This window comes from Homo sapiens, chromosome 6 (genome assembly GCF_000001405.40).
Source record: "Homo sapiens chromosome 6, GRCh38.p14 Primary Assembly".
In the NCBI taxonomy this organism is placed as follows: Eukaryota; Metazoa; Chordata; class Mammalia; order Primates; family Hominidae; genus Homo; species Homo sapiens.
The window spans coordinates 56,526,263-56,546,747 of NC_000006.12; the positions used below are offsets into that span (position 1 = coordinate 56,526,263).

At 36.7% G+C, this 20,485-nt stretch overlaps 1 protein-coding gene across 10 annotated transcripts in view, besides 5 other annotated features; it reads right to left on the reverse strand.

Moving 5' to 3' along the window:
- The window catches only part of DST (dystonin), a 496,835-nt gene that overhangs the window by 68,267 nt on the left and 408,083 nt on the right, over nucleotides 1-20,485 (reverse strand). For 8 of the 10 annotated variants that reach the window (NM_001144769.5, NM_001374722.1, NM_001374736.1 and 5 more), the window contains 8 exons: nucleotides 10,517-10,678; nucleotides 8,860-9,030; nucleotides 6,082-6,248; nucleotides 3,712-3,871; nucleotides 3,186-3,512; nucleotides 2,579-2,663; nucleotides 1,231-1,472; nucleotides 99-305 (listed from right to left, as the gene is read on the reverse strand). In NM_001144769.5, coding sequence (NP_001138241.1) covers nucleotides 99-305; nucleotides 1,231-1,472; nucleotides 2,579-2,663; nucleotides 3,186-3,512; nucleotides 3,712-3,871; nucleotides 6,082-6,248; nucleotides 8,860-9,030; nucleotides 10,517-10,678 — 1,521 coding nt within the window. The remainder of the gene's footprint in view (nucleotides 1-98; nucleotides 306-1,230; nucleotides 1,473-2,578; nucleotides 2,664-3,185; nucleotides 3,513-3,711; nucleotides 3,872-6,081; nucleotides 6,249-8,859; nucleotides 9,031-10,516; nucleotides 10,679-20,485) is intronic. The other 2 variants (NM_001374730.1, NM_001374729.1) reach the window with 1 other exon arrangement.
- Nucleotides 8,467-8,968: an enhancer, noted in NCBI's record as "H3K4me1 hESC enhancer chr6:56399527-56400028 (GRCh37/hg19 assembly coordinates)". NCBI's record gives its function as "activates a minimal SCP1, AML or CMV promoter by ChIP-STARR-seq in naive H9 embryonic stem cells {active_cell/tissue: H9 hESC(naive)}" and the evidence as "EXISTENCE:reporter gene assay evidence [ECO:0000049][PMID:30033119]".
- Nucleotides 8,969-9,468: an enhancer, noted in NCBI's record as "H3K4me1 hESC enhancer chr6:56400029-56400528 (GRCh37/hg19 assembly coordinates)". NCBI's record gives its function as "activates a minimal SCP1, AML or CMV promoter by ChIP-STARR-seq in naive H9 embryonic stem cells {active_cell/tissue: H9 hESC(naive)}" and the evidence as "EXISTENCE:reporter gene assay evidence [ECO:0000049][PMID:30033119]".
- Nucleotides 15,929-16,694: an enhancer, noted in NCBI's record as "OCT4-NANOG-H3K27ac-H3K4me1 hESC enhancer chr6:56406989-56407754 (GRCh37/hg19 assembly coordinates)". NCBI's record gives its function as "activates a minimal SCP1, AML or CMV promoter by ChIP-STARR-seq in naive H9 embryonic stem cells {active_cell/tissue: H9 hESC(naive)}" and the evidence as "EXISTENCE:reporter gene assay evidence [ECO:0000049][PMID:30033119]".
- Nucleotides 15,929-16,818: a biological region, named in NCBI's record as "OCT4-NANOG-H3K27ac-H3K4me1 hESC enhancer GRCh37_chr6:56406989-56407754".
- Nucleotides 16,399-16,818: an enhancer, noted in NCBI's record as "active region_24701". NCBI's record gives its function as "activates an Ori minimal core promoter by ATAC-STARR-seq in GM12878 lymphoblastoid cells {active_cell/tissue: GM12878}" and the evidence as "EXISTENCE:reporter gene assay evidence [ECO:0000049][PMID:35858748]".

Consider the following 20,485-nt stretch of genomic DNA (forward strand, 5'->3'; position numbering starts at 1 on the left):
GAATGGAAACAGTATTAACAGTCATCTTTGTTCAGGTAAAAGCTCCAAGAACAGCTGGAGAAAATTTATTGCCTAAACAACAAACCATTTTTCCCTACCTGCTGTGATCGCAGAATGGCTGCATCGATCTCCTCCACCTTCTGAGTGATGGTGTCGCTCACTAATCGGTAGCGCTCATTGTCCTCAGCTACCATTTTCTCAAGTCCTTCTCTTGCCCTCCATGGTACCAGTTCCAGCAAAGCACTGCTCACTTCATTAAGGGAGTCCAGTAAGGCTTTGTTGTTCTTAGCTTCCTTTTTCAGTTCCTGAAAACATACAAATAAGTTAGTAACACTTAAGAGCTTCAACAGACTTTTCCTTTAACTGTTCTTGGAGCTCAAGTCCTTTGCAGGCGAATAATGTGATGCTTTGCCCCACTCCCCCCCTCCCTTAGTTTCAGTCGAGTTAAATAAACCTTTTTTATCTAAAGCTATTTTGCAAAAAGAAAAATGTTTCCTGAGAAGTTCAAAGAACAATTCATTTGTCGACACGGCAAGATTTTATCTTTGAAATTTAATATAAATATTTAAAATTTCAGAAGCAAAAACAAGCAAGTTAACTTGTATTATTCTTTGCTTTCTGGGAACCTCTAAGTAATCAGGTAACAGAAAAGTAAAATGAAGAGGATATTCCAAGCCAGAATTAAGTGACCCTCAAAATGATGACAAACTGGCTTTATATCATGACAGTAGAATCATTACAGGCTCAGTGAGCCTGACCTCACCAACTCCCTTTCACCCACATGTGATCATACTTCAAGGATGATAAAAACAGAGGCTGATATCTTGGAAAAGAGGAATGATTACCATGCAGTGTATTACGTTTGTGATATAATTAGAAAACCCACCCCATGTTATCTTATAGAAATATTGGTATTCCAACCAAATTATGTGTGTCTCTGAAACAATGATCATTTTCCTTTTTTTTTTCTGTTTTCATCATTCTGTCCCTTGGGTAATAAACTATACTCCCAAATATAAGACTCTTGCAACAATTATAACATACTGTTTTCATCTCTGGGCTCCTAAAACTTTAAACAGTTGATCTGCTGCCAATTTCTATTGGGTCTCCACCCACCAAGGCATCCTTCAGCATATGTAATGACATAAGACAAATATAATTTTATTTTTGTGTGAATAAGACTGCCTAAAAGATAAAAGACTAATCCAAAATGCAGAAATCAGAGCTTACCTTTGGTCTCATTTGTGCTTGACTTGCTTCTTCTCCTTTCAGAACCTGAGTTTCATATGAAAGTAATTCCACCTCCACTTTGTCCAGCCAGGTACACAGCTCTTCGTGTGTGGAGTGCAGCCGCCTTGCAAGCTGCAGCGCCTGTTCCAGAGTCTTGGCCACATCAGTGCTCAGTTTAGTAATGTCTTTGTACCTTGCTTTAATGGCTTCCAATTTATCTTGAATTATTAAAACTTCATCACCTAAAATTTCAAAGTCACGTTATTTCTTATGAAGGAAAAAAAAGGCAGGGAGAGGGTTTCTTCAGATATTATGGAACACTGATGAAATTTCCACAGAACAAAAGGAGACATTTTTCTAAAGATAATCTTACTCAAGAGAAGCCCTTTTCTAAATTTTAATCTTTCCCAAGATTTCCAGCAAATCTAAATCACTCTGAAAATACAAATGTAGGAACTGGAAAAGGCTAAATGTCTTTAGCTATGTGGAAAGCAGTACTTTTGTATCTATCTGTATGAGACTTTGTTTTCAAAGAAGAGAGGTTAAAAACTGCTTGAGTTCAAATACTGACTTCATGCATGGCTTAAAAGCTGGGTTACTTTGGGCAAGATACTTAGCCTCTCTGCTCTTAGTTATTCATCATTACTCATCTGCACTATTCCAACAGATCTTTATTTGCCTCTACCTCATTTTTTGACACACAGAAAAACTGTGTCCTGGGCTTCAGACTTCTAACTAAAGGCTCTTGATTCTACATTTAATTTCTTCAATGCATAATGAATGGTACTTGCCCCCAACATACACATATTGCTGAACTGAATATAGGTATAGTGAAATTCCTATGGCCAAAGGAATCACTAAAACTAGTTTCCCTGAGTTGTCCTAAAAATCTCATCTAGATACTAAACTATGTATCAGTTTTCTTGGTGATTCAGACATGAAGAAATGAAGCCCATGTATAGCTATGCACGTAGCCATACTGTGTGTCACTGCAATGCGATCTATCTTAAAAAGAAATTGTCTACAACCTACGTGTTCATCTGCCTTCCACAAGTGGAAAAGTAATGTGACTCTGTCCTGGGCTTCTCTGATGAGCTCCTGTGCCAAAGTGCTTTATGTTATGAGTAATACACACAACTTCCATCAAGAACTCAAGTGAGATCATGAGAAAAAAGTGAGATCATATCCTAACCACCCCCTTGATTGGTCTTCAAAGCATTCTCCAGAATAAAAGTCTTGGAATGGACCAAAAATTATAAAGTGTTTTGGTTTTTTCCCATCCCTAAAATATTTTGAAAACAATATAAAATGCTGACCACATGATGATTTGATTTGAAAGATATCTCACCTGTGGTTTGTTTAAGTAGTTCTAAACCATTTAGTAAAGCCTGATCTACATTTTGTTTCCTGAGTAAGATGTCCTCTTGCAGAACCTGAAAACACAGGTACCATTTTTATGTGGGGGGAAAAACATTTAAGTTAGCATTAACATTAGTTAATCTCAGAGAACTTTAATTAGATTTCACAGAGACATATTTGAGTAAATATCTCACATTTTCAAATGTTCTTATTGTTCCCATGTTTAGACCTCTTCTTTTCACCTCTGTGGCCCATGTCCCATGTTCATCTACCATAATTCACAGCATATTCCTTTTCAGAAAATACTTAGGGCCCTATGAAAATGGGCTTTGTGGACATACTGAAGTACTGGTTAATACAGGTCTTTGTATACAACAATAAAATAACAAAATGAAAAGTGAAATATCCAGCTAATTGGATAGAGTCACTCTTTTCTTTAAAATGACTTCATTAAAAGTAATCTGTATAAACAGTCTTTTTTTAAGTACAGCAATTCATCGAAATCATCATAAACATAAAATTGTACAGAAATAAGGACTAAGAAATAATGACAATTGAAATGAAAAAATAAGATAAAATAAAATAAATCAAAATACCCGAAGTTCAGACTGCTGCTTCCATAGCCCCTCAGTGCTGTAATCCTGGACTGAGAGCTTGCTCAGTTTGTCATGCACTTCATTCAGCCAGTTCATCAGTTCAACTTCATCTTCCCCAAAAATCTTAGCATTACATAAGGCCTGCTGGAGGAGCTCAGACCTGCTGTGACTTTTCTCTTGAATCTCAATGTACCATACTTGAGAGAAGTCTAATTTACTCTGCACCATATCTTTATCCTCCCTGGAGCTCAAAACCTTTAAGGACTGGCCAATGCTAACAGCCTGGTGTAAATGTTTATTGTGATTGATGATGTCATCTTCTAAGGCCTAAGCAAAGTTTAAAAAAATAAAGAAGAAAAACAAAAAGAATGGACAAATAAAAATGAAAACATAAATAAAACTAAAGCATGACATGTTAAATGGATTTAGTTTGCAATTAAACAAAACAATAGTACATAACTCAAATTTATGTCACAAAACCACACAATAAAAACTGAACCTCGCTAATGTGTGATTTATATCTTACTTTGTGCTGTGCAATTTGTTCCTCAAGTTTAGATGCTTGGGTTCCTATGGGTTCACAATTCACCAGCCTCTTTTCTATGGTTGTAAGCCACTCGTTCAGTGGTTCTAAGGTTTCATGAAATTGCTGTGCTACCACCGAGATACCTTCCAACTGACGATTCCTACAAATGTGCCAAAAGGTCATTTAGGGATGAAGAATGTGTGAAATATTCAACAAAAATCTTCAGTCATGCTCTTGCAATCTATTCTAAACATTTTCTGTAGAAACTATCTAAGGTTACAATTTAAATCTCTTAACATTTAAAGAACATATTAAAACAATTCTTCTGTTAAAAAAAATTAAAGTTGAACAACAGATCATCCTCAAGTTCCTGAATCTCATGAAAGTCTGAAGTAATCTTCTGTAACAATACTTCCAATAGTTACAGTTATAATAATGACAGCAATGTTATAATAATAACAGCAGTAATAGTAACGACAACAGGTAAAATTTATTGAACACATATTCTGTGCCAGGCCCCATTTTAAGTGCTTTATATATTAATTTCAATTGGAGCAACAGTTACTGAGATTGCTCTTAATCAAATGGTCAAAACTGGTTTCAAATTTTGAAGAGCATACATAGCTTCTTCCTCCTCTCCTTAGTGGAATTAATAGTGATTCCTATTTTATAAAAGCGCAGGGTTAGGTTTACTTCCCAAAAGCAATATTAATATTTTATGGATTAAAATATCATGAACAGGGGAGAAGTATTCATTGGACTTTTACTGGTACTTTAAAATATCTTTGGAAATACGTTTCCTCAGTTGCAGAGGACTAAAGCTAAAACCTGTTTCCGCTGTCCTCAGTATTTATCTAGAGCAAGCTATTGTTCTGGTCTGCATACGGAGTACCTGATTCAGTATCAAATCCTGTATACATAATTTCTGCTGGGATCAAGAGATATTGCTGCCTTAACTTCTTATCATGTTTAATTTTCAGGGAATTACATGTTTTGAAAAATTAGCTTTCTATGAAGAAGAAGGGAATTACAGAAAATTGGCATAAGCTATTAAACATAATTTCTATAACATATCACAATGCACACACATTTTTAAAAACTTTCAGTTGATATATTTGATCCTAAAAATGAATAAAATTACTATATTCGTAATTACCTCTGGATTATCACTATCTGTGACCTTTTCTTCTAAATTCAAATATCCAATCATCTAAAATCAGTGGAAATAACTATTCTGTGATGGGATTTCACTTACTATGATTTAAACTGTCCACAATAAATCTGGGCATGAATCATAACCATTACCAATATCCCTCAATTTAATATCTCTGTGAAGAAAGTTTTAGGAAAAGAAGACTAGTTATGGTAGTAAAGCAGAGATCTAGACATTCACTCATTTATTATTTTAAAATTACTGAGAGTATCTCCCATGGCAGCCAGGGCACAGCTCCCAGGGCATTACACAGAACGGTTAATCTGTTGACACATATCAGAGGACAACATGAGATTTTTCACCTCTTTGGGAGCACTTTATTCTATGGCCCTAAAGCTATAATTAATTATACTCTGTATTTGAAGTTTAGACAAATCCTTCTCTTCACTATTCTGGTTCCAAAGAAGGTGGGAATTTATATAACATACTCACTCAGGTCAGTGATTCTTCTATTTTCATCTATTTCAACCCAACCAGCCTAGGTGACTACTCTTCAATGTAGCTACTACTATGGCTAGTCAATGGCGGCATCAATGCAGATACTGAAATATGGGTTGGGGTTTTGTAATAAAATTGTTGAGAACAAACACCCAGTGGAGCCAGGCTCTAGGCTTCCTAGCCTTCATGAAGTTAGAGCACCCTTCCACCTTCTTTGTTTCCTAGCTCCCATTCCCCTCTAAAACTTAGCTTAACTGTCATTTCCCTGCCCCTAGGCTAGGTTCTTCCTGTGATATGCTCCCACAGCAACCTGTATTTCAACTTTGAGACATCACATTTATCATTACTTCTCAATGGCTATAAACCCTCTTAGACTGTACCCTATCTGATGACAGAGATGATCTGCCCAGCTCACCCCTATAACACAAGACCTAACTCTGTGCCTGATGCATGGTAAGCAGGCAGTAACTATGTAATAAACAAATGAAGTAATCACTCCCAAGGGAAATGCTTGTCTTAAAAAGTTGGGATATAGCGGTGACAAGCCATTACCATTAGAGGAATGAGGAAAGAGGCACTACAATCTTTGCTATCTCTGTTCACATACATGATAAACATAGGAAAATCATGATTTGAAGTATTAACAAAATACAAAATGTCAGTTTTGTAGACAGAGGCCACTGCTACTCTTTCAAAAGAACTGGAAGTATATAAGTTACCTTGTTTCAGCTTTATTAAGCAATGCCTCCCATCTGCTATCCAAGAGACTGAGCTGTTTCAAAATCTTCACTTTATCTGCGGGCTCTGCTGTTGTAGCAATTTTTTCTCCTTCTCGTTTGATTACCTCCACCGTAGATTTTCGGTCATCCAACAATCTCTGGAGAAGCTTGAGACAAAACATTAAATATAAAAAAGCAAGGGAATAATTGTATGAATATAAAGTACAATGTATTCTAAGTACATTTGAAGTATGACAAAAATGTATTTTGTATGTATGCACATATGAAAGGATCTGAAAAGCGAGATTTTAAAGGTAACTCATTTGTTTAATGATTTATTACTATTGGGTCAGACACTGTGGCAGGGGCTTTTCACAGTAGACAAAACTAATATTGGTAAGGCCACTAAACTCATTACTAATTTTTTAATATAGAATAATACGGTAGAAGGTGCCACTTAGGATAACTCCAATGAATCATGAAAAAAGTGCAAAATCTCCATTATCGGAATGAAATAAGACTGCCTTAAACATTCAACAACTATCTGTCCTGTCAAGATACAAAAGGTTCCTATAAATCATTACTGTTTTCAAAACCCTTTCCCACGTTAAACAATCCATTATAGACAAGGAAGTTAAGACTCAGCCCAAGTTCACAAGTTAACAAGGCTAAAACGAGAGGCTCTTGGCTCCTTTTACTAGGTGGAACTGGCTCCTAAAATCTGTGTGAGGCTGCAAACTAAAACAGCTTTTACACATCATTGGCAACAGGAAGAGAGGGTAGAAGATGTCAGAAATCTCCAAAGCTGGCTAAATAAGACTAATATTTCAGGATTTAGCACCAGAAACAAAATTCAATTTGATTCTAATTAAACATTTCAAAGCACCTGAAATGAAATGTTTGCTATAATTAGCCTTTTACCTTGCTCTAATCTAATCAAACAAATGGCTCATGAGCAACTGCTGTGCACAGGCACTGTGCTACCAGCAATGAGGAAGGCGTAAGTGTATGAAACACTATGCTTCACTGCTTCCTTAATGATCCTGACTGCTAATTAAGGAGTAAAGATTTGACAGTTACCCAGAAGTAAAAAGCTAAAAGAGTATTTTGAGATCAGGACCACCAAGGCAGAAGGTAAGAGGAACTTGTTTAAAGAGAAGGGTAAGACATACAAACTGTGTTGGCACAGGTTTTTATATACTAAAGTCATGATATAATCAAAGTACAACAGGTGCTTTGGCAGCAAGGAGAACTAATTACTTTGATACATTTTAATAATAAAGCTTCTAGCAATTAAAAAAGCAAAATCAATTAATAGGTTTTGTTGGCTAAGCATCATGACTCTGGGAGTTAACTTTAAATTGTGAATGGTAGACACTGTATTATGCAAAAATCGCACAAATGCAATGTGTTTCCAGTTATGTGTCCTTAATCCTTACCTCTAAATCTATTTCTAATTGGTATAATTTCCCAATATGCTGAAGTTTTCAAAAACTTCTAGGGAGATAGTATTAAATGTAGAAATTAAAGTAAGCAGTAAGTCTTAAATACAAAAAAAAAATTGAGGGTAAATGTGGAATTTTTTGTTTTTTTCCATTTTTAATTGATGAATAATAATTGAATTTATGGGGTGCAATTCAATGCTTTGATGTATGTATACATTGTGGAATGATTAAATCAATCTGATTGACATATCCATCACCTCACCTACTCATCATTTTTTTGTGGTGAGGACCTTTAAAATCTATTCTTTTAGCAACTTTGAAATATACAGTACATTATTAGCAGCCATGCTAAGTGAAATAAGCCAGGTACAGAAAGAGAAATTTAAAATGTTGTCTTTTTTATAAATTAAAAAAAATTAATGTAAAATTTTAAAAAATTTCTTTGAGTTTTAAAATAACGTAATTAACATAATCCATCCTCTTCTTTTTAAAGTTCCAGAGGGGAGAAACCTTAACAGTACGCCATGCTCTAGGATCCTTCCCACATGTCATCTCAAGTCATGGCTGGCTGATTACTACTCAAAGTGGTATTAAATACTTCATACCCGACCATTGCTATCAGGGGCACAAAAACTATCATGTGGTCAGTCTCAGGTACATATCAACCCTCTGAAGACACTATTTTCCCAAATTGGCCCCACTTTAGTAGTGTCAAAAGACACAATGGCACATTCCTCAGCATATATGAATCAAATATTTGTCTCTTTAGTAATAGGTGGAACCAAAAGAAGCTGTCAATATTTAATATATAAAAAGACAATTTCATAGGGATCAACCTAATATATAAGGGAACAATGTTATTTCCATACAAATGCCATCTTGTCAGTGACCTCCCTTCATGACCCTATTTAAAATTACACACACCCCCTCCCTCCCTCCATTCCAGCACTTTAGGTCCCTCATCTTTGCTCTATTGCTTCCTGATGCCTCTCCCCGATCCCTGCTTTATTCATCACTTGCTAACTTATCACCATTCATTTATTTACTTTACTTATTGTCTTTCAATCCTGGCACACCCTTCCCACTTGGCTTTGAACTCAATGAGAAATGTTCATCTTTTTTATTCAAGGATATATTCCCAGCAACTGGAACAAGGCCTGGCCCATGGTAGATGTTCAATAAATATTTGTCGAATGACTAACAAAATAATGTCTACAGCAGCAACAACCGGTTAACTAGGTTATCCTATTAATTAAAAGAGTCACAATTTGCATTTTTTCTCTTGTTATTAAGATTTAATATGAAACGCAATACAAAAGCATGACTAACTTACCTTTTGTTCTTGTATCTGGGCCTTTACCACTTTGAACTCAGCCGACGGGGGCTTCTGATTGGCCACAAGCTCCTCAGTGTCCACCATCCAGCTGAGCAGGGACTCCAGGGCATCCTGGAACCTCCCACAGTGCAGCAAGGCCTCCTGCAGCTGGGCTGCTCGCTGAGCCACCTGCAAAGTGCCAATTGTTTCCACTTATTTATTTGTTTCACAAAATAATGCAATCTGAGCACAAATCACTATTTTACATGCTTATTTTCCCGTGTGGTCACAAATTTTCTTTTACTTTTCACTTAAAATTTACCCAAAGTATCGATAGTAGGCAGGATAGCAGTGAAAAGGAGACAAACTTTAAGCAAGTAGGCATGAAAATAAGGTTACCATCACAGTCAACATAGAGCACTCAATCTTGGAGGTTTTTGGATTGTCTAATACGTTTTATGATTAGCAATGAATGATTCAAATATTTTAGAGTTATCGTAAAAAACAGCACATTAGTCATTTTTATCAATATTGCATTTTATTTCCTTCTAATAAATATCAGAGATAATGATTTTTAAAAGATTAAGAATAAACAGAACTATTATAGCAGAGAGAATCAGAATTATATTTTGCTAGGCAAGAATAACAAAAGTATCCAATTAAGTTCTGCTAGCTCCAAGCTCTGGAGTCTTTTTTCAACAAACCAGGCCCTTTGTCTACCAGTAAATGGAGTCTCTGTGTCCTACATAGAGATATCTTATTGCTTGTCTCAACAGATATTTTCCTTTTGGACTGAATAAAGTAGCTGGCAAGATATTGTAAGTGCTATGGATTATATTTACACCTGATACAGCATTCCAACTGTGTTTAAGGTGCACTACACATATGTATCAGACTTTAAAGAATGAATAATATAGTTTCAAGACCTGGTACCTGCTGAAGATGTCAATCGAAAGAAAACAACAAGAGTAACCACCACTGCCACAACCAGATATGCACTGCCATCCCATAATAATTTTCTGATAATTTATGTCTCGTAAGAGCTGCCTGCCATCGTATGTCAGCATTATCTCCCTAAGACATCAGAGCATTATTTCTAGTGTTTTCTCTCATGGGAATTTAGAAAAAGGTTGGACCTACATCTTACAAGTAATTGAGGGCTGATGGTCTACAGTGAGGGTAGCAGGACTTAGTCCAGGAATGACATAAAGACATAACTTTGTTTGTATGGTGTGAACTTAGTTGCTAATATTTGAAAATAGGAAGGTTTCACATAGAAAGTGAGATTTCCAGGTTATTTTGAAAGTAAACAGAATATCTGGCAACAGTGGGCCTACATGCCTACATGTCAATGATCTTCTGGAACTAAGTAGTGACCTGTACCTTTACAGATGCATGTGCCCATCATACCTGCACTGTTGTATCTGTGACCCTGTCTTGATTAAAGGCGAGATAACAGCAGGAAGAGGCTCTGTCTTACCCAGTTTGCTTCCTTTCATTTAGATTCCCTACCTAGCTCCAGTAGGCATCTGAGTTTGAGCCATCCAGTTTACAGTAATATAAAACAGTAGACATATTTAGAAAAGTTTGGCTACCACAAATATGATTCATGGTCACCACAAATGCTCATGAATAATAATCAGCAAAATAGCAATGAAGGGGGTGAGAAAATTACCTTCTTATTGAGAGTCTTCCACCGTGCATTGACATCATCCAGGTCATGCTCCAAGCCCTGAGTGCTAGTGCTTTTGGCAGCACTCTGAATAAGGCCTTGACCTAACCAGTTTACATCTTGCTGTTTACCTTGCAAGGGTTCAATCTCTTCTTTCTGGAATACCTGCAGTTAAAAGAGTAATAATTATATGAGTTATATTACCTATCAACCGCCAAATATATAATAAGCATTTCTTTAGGCATCAGGTTGTGGAAACCATCAATTATTACAGAGGTAAAGATAATTTTTATTGTCTAGCCATAGGTCATAGCTACCTTCTGAAGAACAGAAAGAAACTAAATATAAATTAGTAGCACATCAAAAACATTTGAGAATACTAAAGAATGATATTCTGAGTACACTTAAGTTACTTATAAAACCAAGAAGACAGTACATGTCTCCTCTCTTTATTGCTTCATTATCATAGGATGAAAATGTTTCTGTTGTCCCAGTTTAACTGTAGCAAAAGATTTACAGAAAATGCTAAAGAGCAAAAATATAAAATAAGTACAAAATGAGCCTTCATGGGCAAGGCAATCCTAATAGGCTCTCCTAAGAATGGCTGCTGCTAGCTGGCAACTGAAGCTTGAGACTCACATTGGAAATGGAAAATCAGGGACAGGATGAGGTGAGCCAAGTGGCCAAAACATGGCTTGGCAGGAGGGCCAAAATACAGAGATAGGAAAATGAAAAATACATAGGCATGTGCTGCAATAGTATGGATCCCTACACAAATAGCCTCCTCAATGTCTACAGAGATGCCAATGGACTCTCAAGAAATACAATGACCTCACCCCATGGATCTGATCACATACCTTACCAGCACAGCAACTCTGGTTACTCTGTAGTCATTGTCACCCATACCTGCACTGACAGTGGATTCCTAGCAATCTCTCCCTTACTGTCTATCCCATCCAATTTACAGTTCCCCAGTTGCCTGTGACTGGCAAAGGATTTAATGTGCTAGATTAAAATACAAGTGCCATGAAAGCAGAAATTTGTTTTCCTTACAGTAGTTCTATGACCTGGGCCTACCATGGTACCTAGCATGTAATATTTGCCAATATTTATTTGCCAAATTAATATCAGTATAGAAATTTATATTTCTATCTTAGGTGGATGACTTCAACCCCTTAACAGATAATACTGGGAGTAGATACATCAATATTATGATTATTTTTTTGAGACATGGCCTCACTCTGTCACCCATGCTGGAGGGCAGTAGTGCAGTCACAGCTCACTGCAACCTCTGTCTCCCAGGCTCAAGCCATCCTCCCACCTTAGCCTCCCCAGTAGCTGGGACCACAGCTGCATGTCACCACGCCCAGCTAATTAAAAGAAAATTTTTTTTTGGTAGAGACTGGGTCCCACTATGTTGTCCAGGCTGGTCTCAAACTCCTGGGCTCAAGCAACCTTCTTACCTCAGCCTTGCAAAGTGCTGGGATTACAGGTATGAGCCAACTCTTTCATAGATAATATGTTTTTAATATAGGGCTTGGAGGATGCCATGAGGAAAATAAATTATTGGAACTAAGGAAGGAAAGTTTTACATCGATATTAAGGTAAAACATAGTTTGAGATTCTGAGTCATTATCCTGAAGGGCACTATATAAATATACCAATGATTGGACAGTTAATCATAATACATAGAAACATAATAAAGGCACATATTAAAATAGCACTTCAGGAAAAAAATTGCAGACACAGTATGAAAAATAACTTTGAAAGATGTAGAGGCTGCAGGAGACAAATCCTCCAGACTCTGGTCTAAGGCCTAGCATACAGGATACTCCTGTGTTACTGTATACATGAGTAAATTAGAGAACAGCAAACAAATTAATGATCATTTTCTCTAAAATCTCCTCCTAGCTAAAAACTCAAACTACCTTTTCCACAGAAAATGTATATAGACAATTTCCATACTGGCAGTTTATATATAACAATAATAAATATTTAAAAATCAATTACACATAATCAAATAAATTATGAGATTCACCCAAATCATTGAGGAAAAACTTAGGAAGTCTCCGTAATTTTGCAAAAAGGTAAAATTTATCAAATATGTAAACAGAAACTTGGCAACAAAATGTTAAAGATAGAATTTGGCATTATAATTCAATTTCATTTCTATACCACTTTCTAAGTTATAACTTCCAGGACTAATAGCTTTGGATATGTTTTACTACTTATCAAAAAGTGGGGGCGGAGGGTGGGGGTGTACAAAAACTGCTACCTTTTAAATTCCAGGAACTTGTAAATAAACATTCAAGGAAACGTTTTATTTTCCCTCTTATATAGTTTTCAGGACAAAAGGATAACAATAATGTTCTATTAAATTGCCTTAACCTCTGGTCTTGGTTTTAAATTAATTTCAGGGGTTTATATTGGAGTAGATCTAGGTAAATCTGATAGTTTTCTAAAGTGCCCCCAAAAATATACTAAGGATTTAAAAAGATAACTACTAAAGAGTATATACTCCCCTAAGATTTAATTGTTTTCTACAAATAAACTGAAATATCCTTTACAGAAAAAAATTAATTTGCTAAGCTTTTAAATTAGCATGCCATTTACTGCATGTCTAAGAAAAAGGCATAACTAACAAGAACAATTATTTCACAGACTGAGAAGAGGAACGGTTCTGATATTGTCTAAGTTCCTTATCTCTCAATGTTAACAAAATACCTATGAAGAGAGCCTTTCCCCCTAATCTAACCCACAGCACACAAGCATGAAGAGAAGTTTAAAATAAAATAAAACTACCTTTGAGGCCAAGTTTACCAGAAGAGTTTAGTAAAAGTACCAAAACAGCTGAACTTCAATCTGAGTGGGAAGAAAAAAATTACAGGCTTGACAAGCAATCTCTACTTATTACAAGGCTGCACCCTTTACTTTCTTACCTCATTCACCACTCACAAAAAGTTGGGAGCTATAATGCCTGCAAAGTACAGCATAATAACTCTACTCTCACATGCAGAGCTCCTGAGAGAAATTTTTCAACCTATTAAAAAAAGTCCTTAATGTGGATAGAGTACTTTGCAGGCCATAACAATATAATACTGTTTGTACCTTCATGACTAAGCCTGTTCAAGCTTAATAAATCCAATATAATGGCTCTTAAATGGCAGTGTCTTTACCACAATTTGTGTAAAAGCCTAACATTAACATATATTCACAGTGGAGGCCTTCTAAATGAAGGGGAATGGCCACCATCTGCACAATCAATAACAGGACCCTGAACAGCTGGGAATATCAATTCTTCTCCAAAACAGTCCCTATTAATTTGTTATAATTATCCATTTATCAATATGTGGCATCTTGCAGGGTGCTAGTCAAACCTCCAAAACAAAAGTGTGGATTTCATTATTATTAGAAACACTAGTGACCACTCTGAAACAGAACCACAAACTTTTAGCAGAACCGCAAACTTTTGACACTGCAGAGTTTCATATTTCCATGAATTACCTGAACCAACTGAAAGCCATTGCAGACTGTGTCCAATATTCCTGCCTGGGCCCCTGTTTTTCTGGGTGCTGCTTTCTTTCTTGCTGATACGAATTTCAGGGAGAACTTCTTATAGAGCATTTCGCTCTCCTGGGCAGAAAGAGGAGCCTCCACTTCCTCTTTAGATGCAATGTTGCATTCTCCTGAATCATATTGTGTCAAAAGTGTCACATTTTCTACTAAGCTGGTGCTACCACAATCTACATCACTCTCCCCTAGATCTGTGTGAGAGAGATCTAAATCTTGAGGGGAATCCTTCAAGAGTTCCCTACTTTGTGCTGTGATTTGGGATTCTCCAGGTCCGTATGTTTCGTCCTCTTCTCCAAGGTTAAAAATATGCTCATTTTCTCTATTTCTTGGCATAATTAATGGGTCACACTTCACAGGGCTCTCTTTCAAATTATTCTGCAGGCAACAATTTTCATCGTGGATTTCCCTTTGACCATTTACATGTTTTGCTTCCTCTAGTGGAGAAACATCATGTAAAATCATTTTGAAATTTTCATCAGGGTGGGCACTTTGACATGAAAGCAGTGGGATTTTCTGTTCGCTAATGGAATTAACAGAAAAAAATGGTCTGTATTGGTCTGTTACAAGAATATCTTCAGTAGAAGACAAACTTTTAATTCGTGACTGGTCTCCAGTTAAAATGCCCTGTTTTTCTTCCCTCTCTGCTGGAGGGCTACATAAACCAGAGTCATCCTCCTCCGAAGTGAGAGAATTAGTACCCCATCTGCACTTGCTGGCCTTGGTAACAGCATCTGACATATCAGCAGGTTCAACAAAAGAGCTTTCACTTTTGTTTGCATAATCCATAAAATTGGCCGGGACAAACATTCGCCATGACCGTCTATGCTCTTTCTTTTCCGCATGAGATTTGGCTTTAGGTAATCCTGTGGTTCGAATGATATCACTATTTAGTTTGAGTGCATCAAAGATCATCTTTTCATCTAGTTTGTTAGCTTCCCGACCTCTCAGCTCAAATACACTGGAAGAAGTAAGGGCACCATTAGAGCATAAAGAACTAACATCCAGTGTTCTGTGACTGTAGGGTAAAGTTCGATCTGTAAAATGCCTGGAAGATAGACTACCTTTTGAACCAGAGTCTATCTGTTCATTTAGTCTAACAGTATCATAGATTGACCGCTGTGGGACGTAACAGTCTTCGATATTTAGGTCCTCCTCTTCTTCACCCTTCCCTACACATGGGGGATTCTGACGTAAACAGTCTGGTCTGCTGAGTGGCTTCCCCATTTTGCAGATAGTTAAAACAAATATTGCAGCTCTTGACACAGATAAGAAATAAGATAAAGCATCTTCCAAAAAAGTATACTTCTGAACAGAGCTATGGAGTGTCTTTAGCATAAAGACACATGCTCAAATAATATATTTCATAATACATGAGGTGTTTAAGGTCATCAGCAGTGCATCAGTATAAATGCAACTATCCTTTTACCTGGTTGATTTTAGGATGATTCTAAACAATAAAGTGCATCAATAACAGAGAACAAAAATCTCCTTTGTCCACCTTTCCCAGCTCCCAAAGTCCCCGTTCACACACTCCAAAACACAGAAAATAAACAAACACACACTTAACAGTGGCTCAAACACTCAGAACATTCCATTGTCAGTCCATTTCCCTTTTTAGTCTGATATTTCCAGATTAAAATTTCCAAATGAGCAAGCATTTTAACAGCCTGAATGTTAATTTCGGCAGAGCTCTGGTTAACTGTAATCCACTTAAAGATGGCTTGCAGAACTCCACCATTCTGGTAAATAAACCATGCTCCAGAAATTTAAAAGACAAACACAGGGACCTGGTATTGTTCACATCAAGGCACAGAACAAATCTTCAGAGAAAAATAAGTTAAGTCTAACGTTATGAGAAAGTTACATTTTTCTTTTACTTTTTTTTTTTGGAGGGGGGAGTAGCTATAAATAAACTTGATTGAAAAGGCAGGTTTTCTTCCTGTTTTAAGCTTCTTCAATGCTATTCAGAACTACTCAAAGGAAGAAAGAAAAAAACACCAGACTTTTAGACACCCAGGGCAGTACAATCCAGCAACCGTTTAAAGTAAACAGAAAGCATGGTGTACTACTAAGCTTCTTTAAAAAAAAAAAAAAAAAAAAAAAAAAAGCCATTTCCAAAGATTCTTATCTGGTCCTCCTTAGGAAGGCTTATTCCACCTGAGGCAATTGCAGCAACGAAGAGCTCCGCGGCTTCCTCTAAGGCACAGGCAGCGTAATTCACATTGAGCAGAAAACCCAGGGACTACATTAGCCTTTGAAACTGAACCAAGTTCTGTGGCCGCGGTATGGCCTTCATTTCAGCTGGGGCTAGAGAGAGACGGTGGCGGTGGAGGCAGCAGAAAGAACTCCGGAAGGGAGCTCCGGGGCTGTCCGCGGCTCCTCAGGGCAGCACGGTGCCGGGCAGGCATGCTCTCCAGCCAGGGCGCTTGCAGCAACGCCCTCTCTCTTCAGGCACCATCTGCTGCGTCTCTGGGCCTGCCGGGCGTTCCGGAGCCGCAGCTCTCTACCACTTCGGTGCTACGCCCTCCCGTGACTTAACTTCGCAGTCATCTTTCGCTTCTTCCCGGGAGTCGGCGAGCGGTTTCAGTGGGAGGTACCTCGAAGCCGAGAGGCTGCAATGTAACAGCTTGTGGTGACATCAGCGCAAAGCAGGCCGAGTCCGGCCACTGGGGAGAGGGACAGCTCAGGTTCAAACACCGCGGAAACCCCGCCGACTACTTCAAAATGGGAGGGGATCCGTAGGGCTTGCGGAGGCAGAACCTGGCACCGGGAGATCCGCGAAGAAATTATTTTGTGAAGGTCCAGAGACCGCACTCATTTGAATACTAAATGGGAAAAGGGGGGCTACATAGGTCCCTATCCTTCAGTTGAAACCGCACTTTTACACTGAAGAATCTGATGCTTCAGCAGTATCTGCGATGCAAAGTGCAGATCACTTTGAAGTCGAGAGTGTTTTGCCGTTCCCTTTTGAAGCCCAAGTTCAAATCTAACTGTTCTCCAGAGTAAAGTATTCCTACCAGTGAGGGGCTCTCAGCACTGCTGACATGAATATTAGTAGTTACTAATAACCATACAGTACTCTTGAGGTTAACACAAGGCCCAAGAGTGGTACTCACTGACTCCAGATATTTAATAAACAAAATCACCTCCACAGATTTTTATCTACTGAACACCCTTCTAAAAATACTGTTTGAAAATAAATTCAGCAAGCCAACTCTTAGTCTTTGTAGGAAATTTAATAGTTTTATTTAAATAAAATCTAAACATTCTCTATTTTACAAAATAAGAAACATCGTCAGAGTGTCAGTTACAAATGAAGCGGTCTTTCTTCAATCTCATAAAATAATCATTTGAACATGAACAAAACTGTGCTAACTCCAAATGAAGAAGGCAGTTCTAGTAAAAACAACTTTATACTTTCTTTGTTAATTTTACAGAAAAGATGTGGGAGGAAACTTTTGTGCCTTTAATGAGAAAACGTTATCTCAATATTCATTCGATAAATCTAAGAGTTGAATCTTTTTTAAAAAAATCTTTTCATAATGAAAACTCTATCGGTAACTCATCCATTCAACAATTATTAGATTATTAGATGCAACTCAGTATGTGGCCATCATTAAGTTGACTAGATATATGACTATCTATAAAGAAAAAGAGATTTAAAAATATCCATCCACATCACAATATCAATGCCAATTTTTCATGTTCAAGACGTGAAATATTTCAACAAGCACCTGATTCTGTGGTGTTCAAGCACACAGGCTGTAATAAGGCACTGATAAGAGAAAGAAAAATGGTCTCATACTTACCACGCTTGAACAGTGGATTGGGCACTAGACTGGGAAATAGTAGAGGCCAAGAGTCTTACTCCCAGCTGCCGCTCTCTTGATATGTAAGCTTAGAAAACTACTTATTCATGGCAATATGAATAATAAAGTTTCCTTGAGATCTCTGAGTGCCTTTCTCTAAACACTCTAAGATCCTTACAGAACTTTTCATAATAAAGAATGGCTCTAATTCAGTTCACCTTAGACTCTAACTCTGAATCATTAGCACAATATTATTCTAGGCTTATGAAAAGCTAAGAGGAGCAACATATAACCTCACATTTGAGGTGGGTAGTACATTTTTAAAACTGCACAAATAATTCATTCATAAATTAAATGATTCAAAAAAATAGCACTCACTGTCTGCCAAACAACATGTAAGCACTGGAAAAATGATGTTGTAAAGACATAGCCACCACTGTCCTTACACCACTTACACTAGAATGGGAATGTGAATGAGAAAATGGCCATGACACAGTTCGGAAGTAAACAGTGCTATGGGAAAATATTCCCTAGTTAATTGAGTTCAAGTATACACCACTTATTTAATAACTAAATTCCTTTTTTATTGAACTGATTTTTATATTGATTCACATTAAGATTTGTGCTATTAAAATTTGTCACAATAATTTACATATATCTTTGTTACTTGAAATCACATTCCAAAGTCTTACCTGGATGACATGTAAGAGCTCATATATAGAGCAGAACCGGACTGGTTTATTTTTCCCCAAAAATTTGGTTTAGACAGCTACTATAAATGTTATAGCCTCTAATGTTAATAAAATCAAGATATATTAAACCATGTTAAATATTAATCATGATATCTAGATCCATCACATTTTCTTTTTTTCTGAGACAGGGTCTTGCTCTGTCACCCAGGCTGAAATGCAGTGGCATGATCACAGCTCACTGCAGCCTTGACCTCTCGGGCTCATGTGATCCTCCTGTCTCAGCCTCCCAAGTACAGATGCGCACCACTACACCTGGCTAATTTTAAAAATTTTTTGTGGAGATGGGGTCTCACTCTGTTGCCCAGGATGGTTTTGAACACCTGGGCTCAAGCAGTCCTCCTGCCTCAGTCTCCCAAAGTGCTGGGATTACAGGCATGACCCACTGTGCCCAGCCCCCTCACATTTTCACAATGAGAGAAATACATAATAAGGTACGTAAAGTTTTCCTGAAAAATAGCCAACACTATTATTTCATAATACAGAAATCATAATGCTGTTTTCAAAATGTAGCTTTACTTACTTTTTGTAGCCTACTAGATATAATCCAGCTAAACTATCTACTAAAGCAGATGATTTCAGAAAAGTACACAACTACTAATTGAATTATAAGCAAAACAGTAATATTTTCTCATTTTATATTCCTAAAGTTTAATTAAATCTTTTAAAAGGAAAGTCCCTGAAAAGTCTTCCCACTAAGTGCAACAATGTACATCATAGAAAAGTTTTATCATTCACATTTATGATTATTATTTACACATTATTTACTCATAGAAAAGAGCAATTTTATCAGCTGAAACATGGAGGTTTTAGGGTTGAAGGATTGGAGGTATTAAGTTCAATGTGCAGTAAGTGAAAAATGTCTATGTAAGTAAACGCACTATTATCAATGAATAACTCTTGGCCTGATAGCTCTTGAAATCAGGATGAGAAGTCAAACAAGGGATATGCGTTTTGTGCTGCAAGTACATAAACAGGCATTAAGAGCAAAAATTGTTCTTTCTAAAACAAATAAGCCATTAGCTAATGAAAACTGAAGGCATGCTATATTTTTAGTTTTCAAACTATTAAATTTATTCACATAAATGGCTAAACGTTTCCAAAGATATGAATATGCATCATATGAATATGCAATAACTATTTATTTCATGGGAATACAGTTTATATTTAGAAGAAAGTAGAATATTCTCATCCTAAAGCCCTAAACCGATTTAGAAACAAGAGATTCACCAACTGATCTTGACAGGAGTTTATCTTGATGTGAACCTTAGTTAATATCTTTAATGAGCACTTGCTCTTCTTCCTGTAAGTTACTACAATACTAAGACTATGCCTTTCCCACATCTTCAATGAGGTTTTCTGGTGACAGTGAAAAAAAATTCTATGTAACAGAAGATGATTCTATATATAAATCTTATTAATTGAAATATATACATATTTCATATATATATATATATATATATATATATATATATATATATATAAATGTCAAAAAGTTCATTTAAAGAAAAGCTATCCAGCAAGCAGAAGCAACTCACATGTTAATGGCCCTATTCAATTTTCTTCAGAGAAAAAAAAAAACAAACAAAATCTGGAAATACTTTTCATATTAAAATACTGACAAAAGAAATAAAGCTTGAAATGAAGACAACTGGAGATATGTGAGAATAGGATCTGTGAGCACAGACATTTTCTTGTTGTATCCAGTTCTTGAGCAGCTCCAGACACTTTTCACTTAAAATCGTAGCATTTCCTTATCCTACATTGTTATTAATGAATGATTAGAGACCTAGATAAACATTTACCACTCAAATGTTCTTTTCAAGAAACCAATGTCTAAT